This window comes from Homo sapiens, chromosome X (genome assembly GCF_000001405.40).
Source record: "Homo sapiens chromosome X, GRCh38.p14 Primary Assembly".
In the NCBI taxonomy this organism is placed as follows: Eukaryota; Metazoa; Chordata; class Mammalia; order Primates; family Hominidae; genus Homo; species Homo sapiens.
In genome coordinates, this window is record NC_000023.11 from 152,084,272 (window position 1) to 152,105,587 (window position 21,316).

The window sequence follows — 21,316 nt, forward strand, 5'->3', positions numbered from 1 at the left end:
GCTATGGTACTGCTAAGACTAGGTCATAGGAGAAAATGCAAGCTTCTGCCTTGTGTGGCTGCAATACTCACTTTTGATGTCCAAGGACAGCAGATAAGAAATCCAACAATCCTGAAGTCTCTCTGTTGTGAGAATGTCCAAACCACATAAAAAGGCCATGTGTAAGTGCTCTGGATAACAGATCAAGTGGAGCCAAACCTTTAGACATCCCATGCCTCATGACAGACATGTGAGTGAAGAAGCCTCAGATGATTCCAGCAGCCACTCAAGTGTTCCCAGTGGAGGGACTGGATACTGGGTGTTGGAGATAGTCATCCTCACTGTGTCCTATCTAAATTTCTGACCCACAAAATCAGTGGCCATAATAAATTGGCTTTTGTTTTATGCGTTTACATTTGAGGTGATTTGTTACACAGCAATTAATAGCTGACTATTCTTCTTATCCAGAATATATAAATAATGCAAAAATTATTAATGAAAAAAGCCAGAAAACACAAGAGAAAAATGAACAAGAGAATGCAAACAAGCACTATCCAAAGAAGGATATCAAAATGGCCAACATGCAAATGAAAAGGTGCTCAACCTTGTTAGTCATCAGGGAAATGCAAATTAAAACACAATGATATACCACTTCACACCCACCAGAGTGGTTAAAAATAAAAATACAGACAACAAATATATGTACAGCTAAGAGGACTCTTACGAACTGCTGGCGAGAGTACAAGTTGATTCAAGCACTTTAGAAAAATTGTTTGGCAGTAATTTCTCCAGTTAAAAATATGCATATCCTAGGAACAGCAACGTCATTCTGAGGTTTATATTTAACATCCATCCATGCACATGTGCACTAAAAGACTTGTACACAAATGTTCATGGCAGCATTATTCATTAAAGTCAAAGACTGAAAACATCCCCCATATCCATCAAGAACAGATTGGATAAGTTAAGCTGGGGCGTATTAGTAAGATGGAATACGGTGCAACAATTAAATGAATGATCTACAGCTATATGTAACAACATAGATGGATCTCAAAACATAAACTTTAGTAAGAAAAGCCAAATATAAATAAGACATCCTGTATAGTTTGACATATATATTATATTATATGTGTGTATATATAATATATATTATATATATAATATATATAATATATATATAATACATAGTATATATTATATATAATATATATTATATATATAATATATATATATAATCACAAAACAGGAAAAAAGCAATCAGTAGTATTATATGACATAATAGCATTTTCTTTGCGGATGGAAGAAGGAAGTACTAATTGTAAAGGAGCGTGAGGGAATTCTGGGTTTGTGGAAATATTGTTTCTTAATCTAAGGGGTTGTTACATTGGTGTATTAACTCTGTAATAATTTATTGAGCAACAGGTATGCAAGTTTTCAGGTAGGTTATATGTCAATAAAGGAAAGTGGAAAAAAAGACAATGGAAATTTAGATTTGACAGGTTAAATGAAGTTGAGACAGAAAGAGGGGAAGTTGTGAATTCACTCCATGAATACCAGCCACCAGGCTAAGAAGACTGCTTTGAGGGATGAGGTTGAATGAGAGCCATCCCATCAGATACAAAGTTCTCACATATATTAAGGTTTCCCAACAGACTGGCAAAAAAGGGAAAATTGCGGGCAATAAAGAAACATTAATAAAATGATAAATTTAAAAATGCACAGGTAAATAGAACATATTTAAAAATTCATTGGGGTGGTGGGGTTTATTTGTTTCTGTTAAAGAAGAGAGAGAAAAAGAGAAGGCGGAAAATTGTCCACTGTGGAAAATATACCTCCCCTATGATACCCAAGACACACAATAAAATTTAACATATGTGACATGAGTAGCTATCTTCTGAAGCAAGAGGAATCGCAGGAATTATATTATCAGAACATTACGAGGCTAAAGTCAAAGGAATTAAGAACCTAAAACTCCCAGAATTTAGGGGGCCTGAGTAGGAATTGGGGCATTTACTGAGCTTGCAGGACTGCTAGGTTTTTGGTAAATATCACCAGTCACATGCGTGACTCATAGCGTCAAGCTATGAGATAAGTTATGTGAAAAAGCTTCACTATTCTTTCACCTGTTCAGCAAATATTTTGTGTGTGTGCTTACTACATGCTAGGGACTATTGTAGGCCCTGTGAAGGAAGATGAGTCCTTTTTCACGGCTTCATAAACTAGATGGAGAGACACAGGAGGAGACCAACAAGTACGGCACAGAACAACCAGGGATAGAAGTGGACTCTGAGCTGTCTTCTCTAGAAGAACAGCTACTGCATTGGAACTCATCTGGGGGTAAGTGGACAGCAGGAAGGTCTATAAAACAGGAAGAAGGACATGGATAGATTAATAGAAAAGAGCACTCTTGGCTGAACTTCCACAGGTCATTCGAAGATATACAAGTAAATGTAGCTGGAGCAAAGGTTATCAAAGAAGAAATGACAGAATGTTTAGCTGGAGGTAAGGCAGGGCCTTGACCACCAAGACCATACTGTCAGGAACTGTGCAGTGTCTGGTATTTTACCCTACTCACTAGTTAACAAGTTTGTCTGCCATAGTCTCACAGATGAGTCTGTGTCACAGAAAAAGGAAGTTATTACTGAGGATACAACAAGAAGCATGAACTTCAAAGTTTTGTAAGTTTACCTCATCCCTCCCCTGCTTGTCCCATGTGACATGTCATGATTCAGGTACATATCATGCATGTATGGGGTTATTGTCACAGCTGAGGGACATTAAAGTTATGTAATCTTAATCTTTTATAATGGACTGTAAGCAAACCTCCCTGACCCTGTCCTAGAGGAAGACATTATCTTATTATTATTATTATTATTATTATTATTATTTTTATTATACTTTAAGCTTTAGGGTACATGTGCACAACATGCAGGTTTGTTACATATGTATACATGTGCCATGTTGGTGTGCTGCACCCATTAACTCGTCATTTACATTAGGTATATCTCCTAATGCTATCCCTCCCCCCTCCCCCCACCCCACAACAGGCCCCGGTGTGTGATGTTCCCCTTCCTGTGTCCATGTGTTCTCATTGTTCAATTCCCACCTATGAGTGAGAACATGTGGTGTTTAGTTTTTTGTCTTTGCGATAGTTTGCTGAGAATGATGGTTTCCAGCTTCATCCATGTCCCTACAAAGGACATGAACTCATCATTTTTTATGGATGCGTAGTATTCCATGGTGTATATGTGCCACATTTTCTTAATCCAGTCTATCATTGATGGACATTTGGGTTGGTTCCAAGTCTTTGCTATTGTGAATAGTGCTGCAATAAACATACGTGTGCATGTGTCTTTATAGCAGCATGATTTATAATCCTTTGGGTATATACCCAGTAATGGGATGGCTGGGTCAAATGGTATTTCTAGTTCTAGATCCCTGAGGAATCGCCACACTGCCTTCCACAATGGTTGAACTAGTTTACAGTCCCACCAACAGTGTAAAAGTGTTCCTATTTCTCCACATCCTCTCCAGCACCTGTTGTTTCCTGACTTTTTAATGATCGCCATTCTAACTGGTGTGAGATGGTATCTCATTGTGGTTTTGATTTGCGTTTCTCTGATGGCCAGTGATGATAAGCATTTTTTCATGTTTTTGGCTGCATAAATGTCTTCTTTTGAGAAGTGTCTGTTCATATCCTTCACCCAATTTTGATGGGGTTGTTTGTTTTTTTCTTGTAAATTTGTTTGAGTTCATTGTAGATTCTGGATATTAGCCCTTTGTCAGATGAGTAGATTGCAAAGATTTTCTCCCATTCTGTGCAAGGCTGGTTCAACATACGCAAATCAATAAACATAATCCAGCATATAAACAGAACCAATGACAACCACATGATTATCTCAATAGATACAGAAAAGGCCTTTGACAAAATTCAACAACCTTCATGCTAAAAACTCTCAATAAATTAGGTAAAGACATTATCTTTATTGGACTGGAGAATAAGTAAACCTTCCCTTTCCTCTGGAGAAAAACCATCTCTATCTTCCAAGGCTGTTCACTATACAAATAGCCTTGAAAAGACAGTCGGGAACAGGAGGGCAGTTAGTTAGTTACCTTCCAAAATGTGCAGAAACACAATCATCCATGTAGAATTTTCTCCCAAGACTAGACTAAGAGGCTCAGGGGCTTGAAGGTTACATCCTGGAAGCAGAGGGGAAGGGAAACATTGAGAGAATTTTAATCATGGAGGAGATTTTGACTTCTTTGGTCAGCTTATTTTTTTTTTTTTTTTTTTTGGTGAACAGACTTTAGATTTACAACATTTTTAGATTCACAGAAATATTGCAAACATAGTAAAGAGAGTTCCCAGATACTCCCTAACCCAATTTCCCTTATTATTAATTTACATGGGTATGGTACATTTGTTACAGTATTGATACATTATTATTAACTAAAGTCTATAATCTATTCAGATTTCCTTAGTCTTTCCCTAATGTCCTTTTTGTTGTTGTTGTTTTGGTATCCCATCTAGAATAACACACTATATTTGCTGTCATATCTCTGTAGGATATTATTGGCTGTGATAGTTTCTCAGACTTTCTTTGTATTTTATGACCTTGACAATATTTAGGACTACTGGTTAGGTACTTTGTGTAATGCCTATCTACTGAGATTTGTTGGGTGTCTTTCTCGTAGTTAGATTGGGGTTTTGTGCTTTTGGCAGAAAACCACAAAAATAAAGTTCAATTTTTATAATATCAGGGGTATATACTATCAATATGACTTATCGCCGATGTTGACTTTTATCACTTGGCTGAGATAGTGTTTGTCAAGTTTCTCCACCATGAAGCTATTTTTTCCCTCTCTTTTATACTGCACTCTTTGAAAGGAAATAGCTATGCATGGTGACTTCTATTCCTCTACTCCACACTTAAGAAATGGGAATTTATATTCCCTTCCTTATAATTCTTCTACAAGGGGTAATTGTCTCTTTACCCCATTTATTTATTAAATCATTTATTTATATCGATAAGAACTCATGGAAATTTATTTTATACTTGAGGTTATAATCCAATACTACTTTATTCTGCTGTTCAAATTGATTCAGCTTTGGCCATTGGGAGTTCTTTCTGCTGGCTCCTTGGTCCCTTTGACACACCTCCATCAATGTAGGGTTTTTAAATTACTTTATAACTTTCTGGCACTAAAAGATGCTTTGGCTCATTTTGTATACTCCTTGCCTCAGTCCTAGAATCATTTCTCCAAAGACACTTGGTTAATTTACTGGAAAATGGTTTTAGAAACCTAAATCTGACTGCTAGAAGTGCTCTTTGCTCCTGGGAATTTGTTGTTTCTAGGCCCTCTCAGCTGACAGAACAAGGAGATATGTGTGTTTACTAACCTGTATATGTACACATGTCTATAAATATTTAATACATGAAAAATCTGTATCCATATTAACGTGAGCATGATTTCAAACTAATGTATTCAACTCTAAATCATTGCCACAAGAATTAAGGTAAACTCCTCTTGCTTTTCTATAACCTCCCATTCAATCAGTGAAAAATATGGCTCTCCCATCTACCATTCATTTACTTAGCTGTCCAATTTCAGCATACATGTATAGCAGCATCAGAATTGCTAATCTGTACCTCCAAGGGAAATAACTTTACCAACTAGAGTACTGTGCTTATGTGCAGTTCATTTTGCCTTTAATTTTACAGTCTGCTGTCATTTCCAGAGTTACTTTGGTCAGCACCTTTTCCCCCAACCTCTTCACTAAGATTATTTCATACACTTAGAATACAGTTGGATTTTATTGTCATAGTATGCATTCCTTCTTGGGAATCACCTGATAGCCTAAATGACTTTTTAAAAATTTGTGTAAATGGAGGTTTATATTTTGTGCTGTAAAGTTCTATGGGCTTTAAAAAATGTATAATGTCATAAATCTACCATTAAAGTATAATACAGCATATTTTGACCACCCTAAAATTCCCCTGTGTTTCAGCTACTCAACTCTCATTCCATCCTCCAAACCCCTGGCAACCACTGATATTTTTGTTATCTCCATAGTTGTACCTTTTCCAGAATTTCATGCAATTGAGATTATACATTTTTTCACCTTTTCATACTGGCTTCTTTTACTTAACTATACATATTTAAGGTACATCTCGGTCTTTTCATAACTTAATAGCTAATTTCTATTTACAATAAAAATAAATAGATTTAAATGTATGGATATACTATGGTTTATTTATTTATTCATCTATTGAAAAGCATCTTGGTTGTTTCCATTTTCTGGTTATTACGAATAAAGCTGTTGTATACATTCATATGCATTTGTTGTGTGAACATAAGTTTTCAAATATGTTGGATAAATATTTAGGAACATTATTGCTGATTCATATATAGTTAGCTTTGCAAGGCTATGTTAACTTTTGAAGGAATAGTCAAATTGTCTTCCAAAGTGGTTGTGGCATTTTACATTCTCATAAACACTAAATAAGTTCTTCTTACTCTGCATTTTTCTCAGTATTTAGTATTGTTAACTCCTGGATTGTAACCATTTTAATAGGTTTGTAGAGGTATCACATTGTTGTGTAATTTGTAGTACTTTAATGACAAATGACATTGAACATCTTTTCATATGCTTATTTCACATCTGTATGTCTTCTTTGGTGAAGCGTCTGAATATTTTGTCTGTTTTTGATTAGGTTGTATGTTTTCTTATATCTAAGGTTTAAATATTCTTTTTAATATTTTAGATACAAGTTCTTTGTCATATATGTGCTTTGAAAATATTTTCTTCTGGTCTGTGGCTTGTATTTTCATTCTCTTAACAGTGTATTTCAGAGAGTAGAATATTTTAATTTTAATCAAGTCCAGTATCATCAACTTTTTTCATGGATCTTGGTATTGTTACTGAATTTAATAACTCATTGACAAAGCCAAAGTCACCTCAAAATTTATCATACAATTACAAATTAAGAAGGCATGGTGTTGTTTCAAGTAAAATAAACCAATGGAACCCAATGGAGATCACAGAAACAGACCCATATATATGTGAATATATGCTTTAAGGCTTTAAGACAAAGGTAGTATTGCTGAGCAGTAGTGAACGGATGATTCGTTCAACAAAACTTACTGGGGCAAATGAAAACATTTATGTAAAAAGAGAATTATACCTCAAAAGCTACATAGTAATCATTTCCAATATGGATCATAAGTCTTAATGAGAAAAGAAAATCAATAAAACTTCTAGAAGGTAATATACATGAATATTTTTGTTGCTCTAGAGTAGATAATGATAAAGCAAAACTAACCACAAAGCACTAATAGTAAATGAAAAGACCGATAAATTGGACTACATTAAAATTAAGAGCTTTGGTTATTATTTAAAAAGCATTAAAACAACGAAAAGACAAGCCACACTTGTAGAAGACATTTGCAACACATAAAATAAACCAGGTTATTTATACATCTACAGTGTATAAATAACTTCTGCAAGTCAATAATAAAGTGACAGAATGATGTAAAAATGTGTGAGAGACTGAAACAGACACTTCACAAAAGAAGATATACAAATAGCCAACAAGCATATAAAATGGTGATCAACCTATTTGCCTATAAATGCAGGAGTGCAAGTTTAAACCACTGTGAAATACTACAACATGCCCACTACAGCTGATAAAATTGAATAGCTGTCTTAATTAACTGTTGATAAGGATGTAAAATGACAGGAATGCTCAATACACACCACTGTTGGGAATGTAAATTGCTATGACCTCTTGGGAAAACAACAGGGCATTACTCATATTTGAGTAAATGATCAAAATATATCCCAGCAATTGCTGTTGAATATGTACATGAATTTTCATGGGAGAATTATTCATAATAGTCCCAAAGTAGAAAAACCCTAAATATTTATCACTAATAAAATGGATTTTAAAATGGTGAATTATTCATACATTGAAATACTATGCAGCAATGAGAATGAACAAATGTGAAATCACCAACATGAATGAATCTCACAAATATCTTTGAATTAAAGAAAGAAACCCCACACAAAAGAATATATACTGTATGATTCCACTTATATAAGTGAAAAATAAGCAAAACTAAAATATTACTAGGCAACACAAAGGAACAAAATACTGATATATGCAACAATATTGCCAAATAATAATTGTGATACCAAAAAAAGCTGCATACAAAGCAGTATAAATGGTATGATTCCATTTGTATGAAATTCCAGACAAGGCTGGGTGCAGTGGCTCAGTAATCCCAGTACTTTGGGAGGCTGAGGTAGGTGGACCGTTTGAGCCCAGGAGTTAGAGACCAGCCTGGGCAACATGGAGAAACCCCATCTCTACTAAAAATACAAAAATTAGCTGTGTGTGGTGGCATGCATCTGTAATCCCAGCTACTCGCAGAGGGGCTGAAGCAAGAGGATCACTGGAGCCTTCGGAGGTTGAGGCTGCAGTGAGCCATGATCGGGCCACTGCACTCCAACCTAGGTGACAGAGTGATACCCTGTCTCAAAAAATAAAATAAAAAAAATAACAATAAAGAAATTCTAGACAAGGGAAAACTAATCTATAGTAACAGACAGCAGATAAGTAGTTGCCTGGATCCTGAGGTGGGGAAAGATTGCCGAGAAACATAAGGAAATGTTTTGGAGTAATACAAATGTTCTATACTTTGATTATGGTAGTGGATACAGAGGTATATACATTTGTCAAAACTCATTAAACTGTATATATAAAAGAGTGGATTTTATTGTATGTAATTTATTCCTTAATAAAGTTGATTTTTAAACAAAAGGTAAGCATAACTAATTTATGATGATAGAAGTCAGAATAGTGGTTATTGCTGGGGGTTAATGACTGATGAAATATAGGGAAGAATTCTGGAGTACTGATAATGTTCTAATCTAAATTTGGGTGGTAGTTAAAGGGTTGGTTTTACTTTATAAAAATGCATAAAATCATATACTTACAATTTGTGCCCTTCTCTATATGTATATTATCTGTCAATAAGAAATTTACATTAAAATTGTCAACGAAAATTAGCAAACATGTAAAGCAAAATAAATTCTTATAAGTTATAAAGACTGCTTGATGCTCCTTTATGAAGGGGCTCTCTGAGACCCCTGCCATTCAGCCAGTCATTCTTATTTGTGCACAGTGGAAGTCAAAGAAGAAGAGACTTCAGGTGAGTAAGGACTCTTCTATGTATGCGGCTTATAAAATAGAAATTATTATAACCACTTTGGAAAATGATGTGACATCATCTACTACATCTGAAATATATATGTATATGTATGTATATATACACATATTTTACATATCTCTGTATATAAAACCATCAATTGCTATCCTAGGCATATACCTAAGAGTTATTTTTTCATATGTTTACCAAAATACGTGTACAAAAATGCTCATAGTAGCATTATCTAGAATAACTCCACATTTGAAATAAGCTACATGTCTATAAACAGTAGGAGAGATAAATTATTTGTGATATAGTCATAAAATGAGCTTCAGTACACCAATGAAAAATCTAAAAACTGGAATTACATTAATAACATGAACAAATCTCACAAATATAATGTTGAAAAAAAGTAGCTAGAACAAAAAAAGAGTGCATACATTATGATTTCATGTATATAAAGGTCAAAATCTAGGTTACCCTAGGCACTGCTTTCTTTGAAGAGGTAGAAAGTTGCAAGAGAACATCACGCCCATCCTAACAATAAGAAGCCTCCATATATTCTATCAAATCAGAACTTTTATTGAACCATTCAGAAAGCTGGGTTTGCAAGGCAGTCAAGGGAATTAAATTCCAAAGGATGACGATCCCTCCAAGGAGAGACAGGACACACAAACTAAATTTTGGCAGAAAACAGGAGTAATAGGCATCATAGAAGCAAGTAATAAGAAATCAGCTAAACTTTTAATGAATTTCTAAAGCCCAAGTGTGGCTTATCATCTCGGTTTAGACTAACTTGGAGTCCCCGATATAGAAAAGTTCTTACTCACTTAAAGTCTCTTCTTTACTTCCACTGGGCACAAGTAAGAATAACTGGCCCAACAGCAGGAGATTGAGAGAGGCCATTCATGAAGGAGCAGCAAACCATCTCAATCCTAGGAACTCTAGCGGAGGGCCAAAAGCAAAATCTGTGTGCCTGGGGGTGGGTGGGGTGGGTGGTAGAAAACCTTTTTTTTCTACCTTCAAACACGATGAAAGGTCTGTAGCTTCTGAGGGAAGGGTGAAAGCAAAAGCCATCTGCCCATGGGGGAGGGGCAGACAAACCTTTGGGGCTGTATCCCGCATCAATACAAAGCAGAGTTCTGTTATCAGTGTAAATGGGGCAAGGGCAAGTACTTTCTTCTGTTTGAGACCTTCCAAAGATACAGGGCAAAGTTTGACTGCCAAGAGAGGGAGACAAAGAAATGCTAAGGAGACCTCACCTCAGAAAACTAGACATACAGGTTCTGAATAAGACTGAGGCTGCACGAAAAGAACCAAGGACCCCAGCTGCTGCGACCACAAGGTCAACATGAAATAAAGGGCAGCAGTAGTCTACCACTAGGGAGTGGGGGTGTGGGGGGGAGAATGCAGATTGAGAGCCCCATCGTGACACCATTGTATTAAGATTGCTAAAAGCTGAGAAAGGAGCAGAAACACTGAGGAAAACTCTACAGTGTCACCCTCTTCACAGTACACACAAATAACAGTTTGATAGTGGAAGATTTTGGAGCTGGTAACAACAACAAAATCGAAATCTAAGTAACCTACCGTACCAACTAAATTGACTAACACACTGATATCCAGCAGAAGAAGCAGATGTCAATTTCTAGACATAAATGCTAGTTACCTACTCACCTGTACTGTTCTTCTACAAATGATGTCTGGCATTAATTTAAAAATTACAAAACCATAAAAAGTCAAGAAAATCAAACCATTCCTACGACAAAAAGCAACGAACAGAACTGGACTCAAAGATGACCCAGATGTTGGTTATATAAGAAAGAAACTTTAAAATAACGACAATTAATATGTTAAAGAATCTATTGGGAAAGTTTAATATTATACGTGAAGAGATTGGCAACTTCCTAAGAAAAAAATGTAAACTATAAGAAAGAATGAAATTGAAATTCCAGAATTAAACCCAGTATCTATCAATAGGCTCATTGACAGAATAAACACCATAGAAGAAAGACAGAATAAACTGGAGATGTCAACAGAAATTATTCAAAATAAAACACAAAAAGAAAAGAAGTGAATAAAACGCAATAGGGCATTCAAGAATGATAGGACAATAACTAATTGTCTAGAGTACACATCATTGGAGTTATAGGAGAAGAGAGAAAAGAGTTCAAGGGTCAAAGATACATTTGAAAAGATGATGGCCAACAATTTTCCAAAATTAATGAAAGACAAAAATCCAAAGATCCACTTAGCTCAAGGAACACTAAATAGGAGAAAAAAGATAGCTAGTACTCCAACTGAAAAAAATCAGATAAATATAAAATCTCCAGGACAATAAGAAGAAAAAAATACATACAGAGAAACAAAGATAAGAATTACAGCAGATTCTCATACAATATGTAACCTATTTAGCTTGGCTTTTTAAAAAAATTCAGCAAAAACTATCATACTGAATGGGGAACAACTGGAAGCCCTTCCTCTAAGATCTGGAGCATGACAAGAATGTCCACTTTCAACATAGTACTGGAAGTCTTAGCTAGAGCAATCAGACAAGAGAACAAAAATAAAGGGCATCCAAACTGGAAAGAAATAAGTCAAATTATCCTTGTTTGCTGATGATATAATTTTATATTTGGAAAAACTGAAAGACTCCGCAAAAAACTATTAAAACTGATGAATTCAGTAAAGTTGCAGGACACAAAATCAACATACAAAAACAAGTAGCATTTCTATACGTCAACGGTAAAAAGAAATAAAAAGTAACCCATTTACAATAGCTACAAATAAAATTAAATACATAACAATTAACCAAAGAAGTGAAATGTCTCTACAATGAAAGCCATAAAACATTTATGCAGGAAATTGAAGAGGACACAAAAAAATGGAAATGTATTTGATGCTCATGGATTAGAAGGAAAAAATGCTTAAACTGTCCATACTACCCAAAGCAATCCACAGATTCACTGCAATCTCTATCAAAATACCAATGGCATTCTTCACCGAAATAGAAAAAATAACTGAAAAATTTACATGGAACCACGAAAGACCCAGAATAGCCAAACCTATCCTAAGCAAAGTGAACAAAACTGGAGAAATCACATTACCTGACATGAAATTATACTACATAGCTATAGTAAACAAAATACCACGTTACTCATATAAAAACAGACACACAGACCAATGGAACAGAATAAAGAAACCAGAAACAAACCCATACATCTACAGTGAACTCATTTTCAACAAAGGCTACCAAGATGCCAGCAGCATACATTGGGGAAAGGACAGTCTCTTCAATAAATGGTCCTGGGAAAACTGGATATCCACATGCAGAAGAATGAAACTAGACCCCTATCTCTTGCCATATACAAAATTAAATAAAAATGGATTAAAGACTTAAATTTAAGTCTCCAGACTATGAAACAACTAAAAGAAAACATTGTTGTTTTCTCGCCAGGACGTAGGACTTGGCAAAGATTTCTTGAGTAATTCTCCACAAGCACAGACAACTAAAGTAAAAATGGACAAATGTGACCACAGAAAGTTAAAACACTTCTGCACAGCAAAGGAAAGTCCACAATGTGAAGAGACAGCCCACAGAAACCCACAGAATGGGAGGAAAATATTTGCAAACTACACACCTGACAAGGGATTAATAACCAGAATATATAAGGAGTTGCAACAATCCCATACGAAAACATCTAATAATCTGATTTTAAAGTGGCAAAATATCTGAATAGATATTTCTCAAAAGAGGACATACAAAAGGCAAACAGATGTATTGAAAGGTGCTCAACGTTATTGATCATCAGGGAAATGCAAATCAAAACTACAATTAGATATCATCTCATCCCAGGTAAAATGGCTTATATCGAAAACACAGGCAATAACAAATGCTGGCAATGATGTGGAGAGAAGGGAACCCTCATACACTATTGGTGGAATGTAATTTAGTACAACCACTATGGAGAATAGCTTGGAGGTTCTTCAAAAAACTAAAAATAGAACTACCATAGGATGTAGCAATCCCACTGCCAGGTATATACCCAAAAGAAAGGAAATCAGTATATCAAAGAGATATCTGCACTTTCATGCAGCACTGTTCACAATATCCAAGATTTGTAATCAACCTAATTATCCATCAACAGATGAATGGATAAAAGATATGTGGTACATAAACACAATGGAGTACTATTCAGCCATAAAAAGAATGAGATCCTGTCATTTGCAACAACATGGATGGCACTGGAGGTCATTATGACAAACTTTGCATGTTCTTATTATTTGTGGGAGCTAAAAATTAAAACAATTGAACTCATGCAGATAGAGAATAGAAAGATGGTTACCAGAGTCTAGGAAAGATAGGGGTTTGGGGGGAAGTAGGGATGGTTAATTGGCACAAAAATAATAGAAAGAATGAAAAATATCTAGTATTTGATAGCACAACAGGGTGAGTATAGTCAATAATAATTTAATTGTACATTGTAAAATAACTAAAGGAGTATAATTGGATTGTTCGTTAAAAGGATAAATGCTTGAGGTGATGGATATCCCATTTACCTTGATGTGCTTATTATGCATTGTGTACCTTTATCAAAATATTTCATGTACTTCATGAATATATACCCACAAAAATTTTTTAAAAATTATGCCTAAGACAAAAGTCATATACTTCAATTGTTAAAGAAGGGGAGAATATCAATTTAGAATTTTATATCTGGTGCTCTTCTTTTTCTTGTGATACGTATTTCCATTGTTTATTATACTCCATTTACCAGGGGATCAGTGTTAACTTCACCAGTGATAAGCCATACTGATACCATGTAGCCTTGAAATAATGTGATGAGAAGGGCATTTCGCCTCTCCAGTCATTCTACCCAAAACTCATAACTCTAGTCCAATCATGGTAAAAACATCAGACAAATCCTAATTGAGGGACAGTATAAAAAATATCTGACTAGTACTCCTCAAAACTGTAAGGTAATTTTTAAAAAGAGGAAAATTTGCAGAAACTGTCGCAACCAAAGGAGGATACTACAGAGACGTGACAACTAAATGTAATGTGATGTCCTGTATGGGATCTTGAAACAGAAAAAAAAAATTAGGTAAAAACTAAGATAAAATCGGTTTGCTATTTGTGATAAATGTATCATCACAATATAAAATATTAATAATAAGGAAAACGTGTGAAATATATAGGAACTCTATTGACTCTCTTCACAACTTTTCTGTAAATATAAAAAGCTGACAAATAAAACGTTTATTGAAAAAATTAAATGGAAGCAGGAAGATTGAGGAAGGGAATCAGAACTCAAAGTAAGATCAATGTGGCCAGGTGCGGTGGCTCATGTCTGTAATCCTAGCACTTTTGGGAGGTGGAGGTGGTCAGATCGCTAGAGCCCAGGAGTTTGAGACCAGTCTGGGCAAAGTGGCAAAATCTCATCTCGATTATGTATTTATATATGCATGATGGTGCCTGACTTTAGTCCCAGCTATTCGGGAGGCTGAGGTAGTAGAATCCTTTGAGCCCAGGAAGTCTAGGCTGCAGTGAGCTGTGGTCATATCACTGCACTCCAGCCTGGGTAACAAAGCAAGACTCTGTCTCAAAAAAAAAAAAAAAAATCAATATGGTGATGAATTTCTTGTGCTATTTTTGCCTCCTGTATCTCCCAGCCTGGACTCAAATGCAGCACAAATTCAATAATTGCACGCAAGTTGTGGACAGAAAGAGTGCCAAGAAAATGCCTCTATTTTTAGTCCAAGGAATAGAATACAGGGCCTCTACAGGACACAGAGAGTTGTCCAAATGCCATTATTATTTTGCTAGCTGTGTACTCAGGCAAGCTCCAGTCCTGAAGCTGTAACTTAATGGTGACAGCATCGGCAAAAGTTGTGAAGGCACCTAAACCTCTGAGGAAGGAAATCCCTTCTCTCTGACAAAAGAACATTGGTCTATGAATGAGAGGAGTCCTCCTTCGTATTTTTCTCTCTATATTCTCCTGTCACTTGGTCATCAAGGCAGATCCATTCAAGGCAAGGGGAAATCAGAGTGACTAGCCCCTTTTCTAGCTAAAAGGCCAGAAGGAGGGTCCCCTGGGTGGCAGAAAGTGTGGTAGAGATCATGGAGAAGAGGAAATGTGAGAAAGGGATCCTCTCAGGTTGTGTATCAAGTACTGGGCTCAACCTGACGTGCTCACGCAAAAATCTTACCATAAATAAGATAACAAAGGCTTGGAAAACTGTTCTATTGGTAGATCACTGTCCAGGTTTCAGTCACAGGGCCTTGGGTGGTTTACAAACACTGTAGATCCAAATATCATTGCACCGAACAGCAGCAAAATACATATACTTTTCAAGTACATATGGAACATTCACCAACATATATTCTAGGTCCTAAAACGAACATCAAGAAATTATCAAAAATTCAAACCATGCAGAGTATAGTCTCTAAACCTACTGTAATCAAACTAGAAATAAAACAATAACAAAACAAAAGGAAAATGTCTAGACATTTGGTTGTTAAACAGCACTCTTTTAAACAAGCCTCTTAAATCAATGACCTAAACAGCGGGTCTAAGAGAACGTCTCAAGGAAATAAAAAATGCACTGAACTCAATGAAATTGCAAATGCAACATATTAGAACTTGGAGGATGCAACTGCAGCAGTGTTTCAAGGGAAAATTAGAGCGTTTAATGCTTAGATAAGAAATAATACAGCTCTCAATGCAATAGTCTAAGCTTTTCATCTTAATTAAGAAAAAAAAAACAGAAAAAAAAGGTAACAGCAGAAACGAATGAAATGAAATGTGAAAATAAATAGAGAAAATCAAGGAACCCAAAAGCTGGCTATTTGAAAGAAACAATAAAATTCAGAAAGCTCTAGACAGACAAAGTAAAAAGAAAAAAAGAAGAAGACACAGATTACCAGTATCAGGAATTAAACGGGAGATATCATTACACATATTGTGAAAATAGAAGGATAAAAGGAAATAATAAAATCAAATTTATTTACTTAAATTCAAGAACTTAGATGAAATTGAATAATTCCCCCAAAAATCAAACACTACCAAAATTCACCCTAGAGAAAACGAAAAATATCAAAAGAAGTAAAACTAATGAGGAAATTGATGCCATAGTTTAAATTTATTTGAAAAAGAAACCTATGATTCAGATGGTTTCCCTGGTGATCTCTCCCAAATGTTTAAATGGAATTAACACCAATTCTACAAAATCTATTCCAGAAAATAGAAGAGGAAAGAATATATCCCAACTCATTTTACGAGGTTAAGATTACCCTTGTATGAAAACAAGGCAGGACAGTACACAAAAAGGAAAACTATAGACCAATACATTTTGAGAACATATAATGATGACATAATCCCCTCCACCCAAATACCAGCAAATGCAATCTAAGAAATCTATAAAAAAGGATAATGCACCATGACCAAGCAAGGTTTATTTAAGGAATGCAATGCTAATTCGACACTTCACAACTGAAACAAAGCGAACCACAATGTAAGCCACCACACTAACAGACTAATTTGTCTGTTAGTGTGGTGACCATATCAGTTGAAGGAAAAAAAACTCTCTTTGACAATATGCAGCTTCCGTTTGTGAAAAAACCCTCAGAAAATGAGAAATAAATTAAATAAGAACTTAACCTCATAAAGGGCATATGCAAAAACACTACAGCTAATGTCCAACTTTATAATAAAATACTGAATAAAGCAAAAGAATATATACGAATAAATACAGCAAGGAGACTGGAATAAAATATATAACATCACCTCCATTCTCAGGGGCATAATTGTCTATGTATAAAATCCCAAGAAAATGCCAAAAAAATTCTACAACTAATAAATGAGTATAACAAAGTGGCAGGACACAAGGTCAATGAACACAAATGAGTCATATATCCATATAATGAAATGTAGAAACCAAATTTATAATACCATTTCACTGACACTGAAAAAAGAAATATTTATATATAAATCTAAATATTGTATATGGTCTATATGCTGAAAACTACAAAACTACAAAATGCCAATGAAAGAAATCATAGAGCACCTAAATAAATAGATAGGGACACTTTGTTCGTGGACTTAAAGATTCAACATGGTAAAGAGGTCAATCAATTCTCACCAAATTGACATGTAGGTTCAAAGCAATGCCAAATAAAATTCCAGCAGGAATTTTTGTATATATAGACAAACTGATCAAAAAATGTAGGCCCGGCGCCATGGCTCACACCTGTAATTCCAGCACTTTGTGATGCCCAGGCGGCTGATCACTTGAGGCCAGGAGTTTGAGACAAGCCTGGCCAACATGGTGAAACCCTGTCTCTATTAAAAATACAAAAATTAACCAGGCAAGGTGGCACATGCCTGTAATCCCAGCTACTAGGGTGGCAGAGGCAGGAGAATCGCTTGAACCCAGGAGCTGAGATTGCAGTGAGCCGAGAGTGTGCCACTGCACCCTAGCCTGGGCAACAGAGGGAGACTCGGTCTTAAAAAAAAAAAAAAAAAGACAACCCTCTACCCTGACAACATTTTGCAGGAGGGCTAAAGAACTAGAATCATTAACATAATTCTGGAAAGGCAGAATAAAGCTGGAAGAATCATACTACCCTTTTTTTCTTTATTCCTTTTTTTTTTTTTTTTTTTTTTGATGGAGCCGCTCTGTTGCCTAGGCTGGAGTGCAGTGGCCTGATCTGGGCTCACCGCAACTTCTGCCTCCCAGGTTCAAGCGATTCTTGTGTCCCAGCCTCTGAAATAGTTGGGATTACAGGCTCCCGACACCATGCCAAGCTAACTTTTGTATTTTTAGTAGAGGTGGGTTTTCCCCATGTTGGCCAGGCTGGATCACCTCAGGTGATCCGCCCGCCTGAGCTTCCCACAGTGTTGAGATTACAGGCGTGAGCCACCGCGCCCGGCCTCATACTACCCAACTTTAAAATTAACACTAAGACTATAGTAATCAATAGAGTGTGATATTGGGTAAGGGGTAGACATATAGATCAAGGGAACTGAATAGAGAACCCAGAAATAGAACCACACAAATATAGTCCATGGAGTCTTTACAAAGAACTAAGGAAATTCAATTGAGAAATGTTGGTTCTTTCATTGAATTTTATTAGAACAATTAGACAACCATATGTTAAACAATGAATCTCTAACTAAACCTCATATTTTATACAAAGATAATATATCTAAAAGATAAATGAAAAACTATAAGCAGTTTGAAAATAAAATACAGGAGAAAAAACCTTTTTTTTTAAACATTTATTTTAAGTTCCGGGGTACATTTGCAGGATGTGCAGGTTTATTAAATAGGTAGATGTGTGCCATGATGGTTTGCTGCACAGATCAACCCATCGCCTAGGCATTAAACCCAGCATCCATTGGCTATTCTTCCTGATACTCTCCCTCCCCTTCCCCCAACAGGCCACAGTGTGTGTTGTTCCCCCATGTGTCCATATGTTATCGTTCAGCTCCCACTTATAAGTGAAACCATGTGGTGTTTGGTTTTCTGTTTCTGCGTTAGCTTGCTGAGGATGACGGCTTCCAGCTCCATCCATGTGCCTGCAAAGGACATGATCTCGTTCTTTTTATGGTTGCATAATATTCCATGGTGTATATGTACCATATTTTCTTTATCCAGTTTCTCATTGATGGGCATTTGTGTTGATTCCATGTCGTTGCTATTGTGAATAGTGCTGCAATGAACATACGTATGCGTGTGTCTTTATAATAGAATGATTTATATTCCATTGGGTATATACCCAGTAATAGGATTGCAAGGAGTCACCTTACTGTCTTCTACAATGGTTGAACTAATTTACACTCCCACCAACAGTGCAAAAGTGTTCCTTTTTCTCTGCAACCTCGCCAGTATCTGTTGTTTCTTGACTTTTTAATAGTAGCAATTCTGACTGGTGTGAGATGGTATCTCAGTGTGGTTTTGATCTGCGTTTCTCTAATGATCAGTGATGGTGAGCTTTTTTAAACGTTTGTTGGCCACACGAATATCTTCTTTTCAGAAATGTCTGTTCATGTACTTTGCCCACTTTTTTTTTTTGAGATGGAGTCTCGCTCTGTCACCCAGGCTGGAGTGCGGTGGCATTATCTTGGCTCACTGCAAGCTCCGCCTCCCGGGCTCACGTCATTCTCCTGCCTCGGCCTCCCGAGTAGCTGGGACTACAGGCGCCCGCCACCACACCTGGCTAATTTTTTTTTTTTTTTTTTTTTTGTATTTTTAGTAGAGACGGGGTTTCACTGTGTTAGCCGGGATGGTCTCGATCTCCTGACCTCGTGATCCACCTGCCTCGGCCTCCCAAAGTGCTGGGATTACAGGCGTGAGTCACTGCACCCAGCCTACTTTGCCCACTTTTTAATGGGGTAGTTTGTTTTTTTTTCTTGTAAATTTGTTTAAGTTCCTTGTAGACTCTGTATAGTGGACCTTTGTCAGGTGGATAGATTGCAAAACTGTTCTCCCATTCTGTAGGTCGTCTGTTTACTCTCATGATAGTTTTTTTTTTTTTTTTTTTTGCTGTGCAGAAGCCCTTTGGTTTAATTAGATCCCATTTGTCAATTTTAGCTTTTGTTACGAAATGGCGAATTACCGTTCTTTTCACGCAATGTCTTTTGTGTGTGAAAGATAAACATATAAACATAAGAAGTGATGTATTGCAAAGACGTTAAAGAAAACACAGATTATTGTTATGAAAATATTGCATCCTTTTTATGAATGTCAGTACTTTAAAAAGTACATATTCAATAGTGACTAGGAATTACTGACATTAATGACTGAGAGACATATTTTTAAAAACATTATCGTAAGTTGTTACAAGAGACATATAAACAACAAACTTTTGACAAAAGACATAAACAACACTATAAAAATGAAAGTTATTACAACAATTCCTTCTGCCACTATTACCTGCATACAATCCTTCCTATAAATATTAAATTCAATCATGTCATTGGGAATATGGCTTAAATATAAATATAATTTTCCTTTTAAAAATAAAAGTTATTACGTTTTCTAGAGAAAAGATTTTAAAAACAAGATAGATTATTACCTGTGAGCAATTGTATTTGAAAGTCTGAGATAAGTTGGATGACTACGCATAGTTTACTAATTGGATTTCAAAGTCTTTTTGTTTTTCTACAGTTACATGAGCAGCAAGCATGCCAGAGGCTGAGTAGAATTCATCAAAAGGCCGATCAATATTTCAAACAAACCATCTAGAGAATATGTGTTTATTTTTGGTAATCTAAACCACATTTTAAAATATTTACAATATTTTATTATAATGCTAATTCATATGCACTTCAGAGGTGTTAGAAATATTGAAAGCATAAATAAGAGAATAAAAACACTTATATTTCCATAAGCAGCAGAAAGCCATTGTTAATAGTTTACTGTATATACTCCCAGTTGTATGTAAGTATGTCTCTTTGATATGTACATGTGTTCCATAGTCTTTCAATCTGGCTTTTATTTGAGGAAGTTGATATGCTAGGGCATTTGTCAAGCAAAGATCATTTAGGTTCTAAATTTGTAGTATAGGACTCCTGATTCTGGCCAAGATGGAGGAACAGGGACCTAATTTATAAACCCATCTGAAACAACTAAAAACCAGGCAAAATATGTGAAACGGATTTTCAATTTATCGGACATTAGGCAAAGAAGACAGTGTTCTCTGGGAGATAAAAAACAAGTGAGTTGAGTCCTATGATTGCACAAGCTTACCGCCTAAAGAGACATTGTAGATCACAGTGCACAGAAGGGGATCCTGATTGTCTCTTTGAGTTAAGAACATGGAGCTGAGAGTATAGGCATGCCAAGATGGATAGTACCTGTAGGACAAAATTCTAGAAAGGAAAGAGTTTCACAGAAATAAATCTATAAAGATTATGCAGGTCTTGGAATTATTCCTGCTCCCATTAGTCAGAATGGAAAATCTCACAATTCATGGGGCATTGGTTAGAGTATACAGAATAATTTTGCTTTAGAAGTGCAACATTGACCATAGACTAAACATTGATTTTATCTCACTTAAAGTTCAAAGGCAAGATGCAGAACAATCCTTCTCTTTCCAATAAATTTAGCTGAGTTTCAC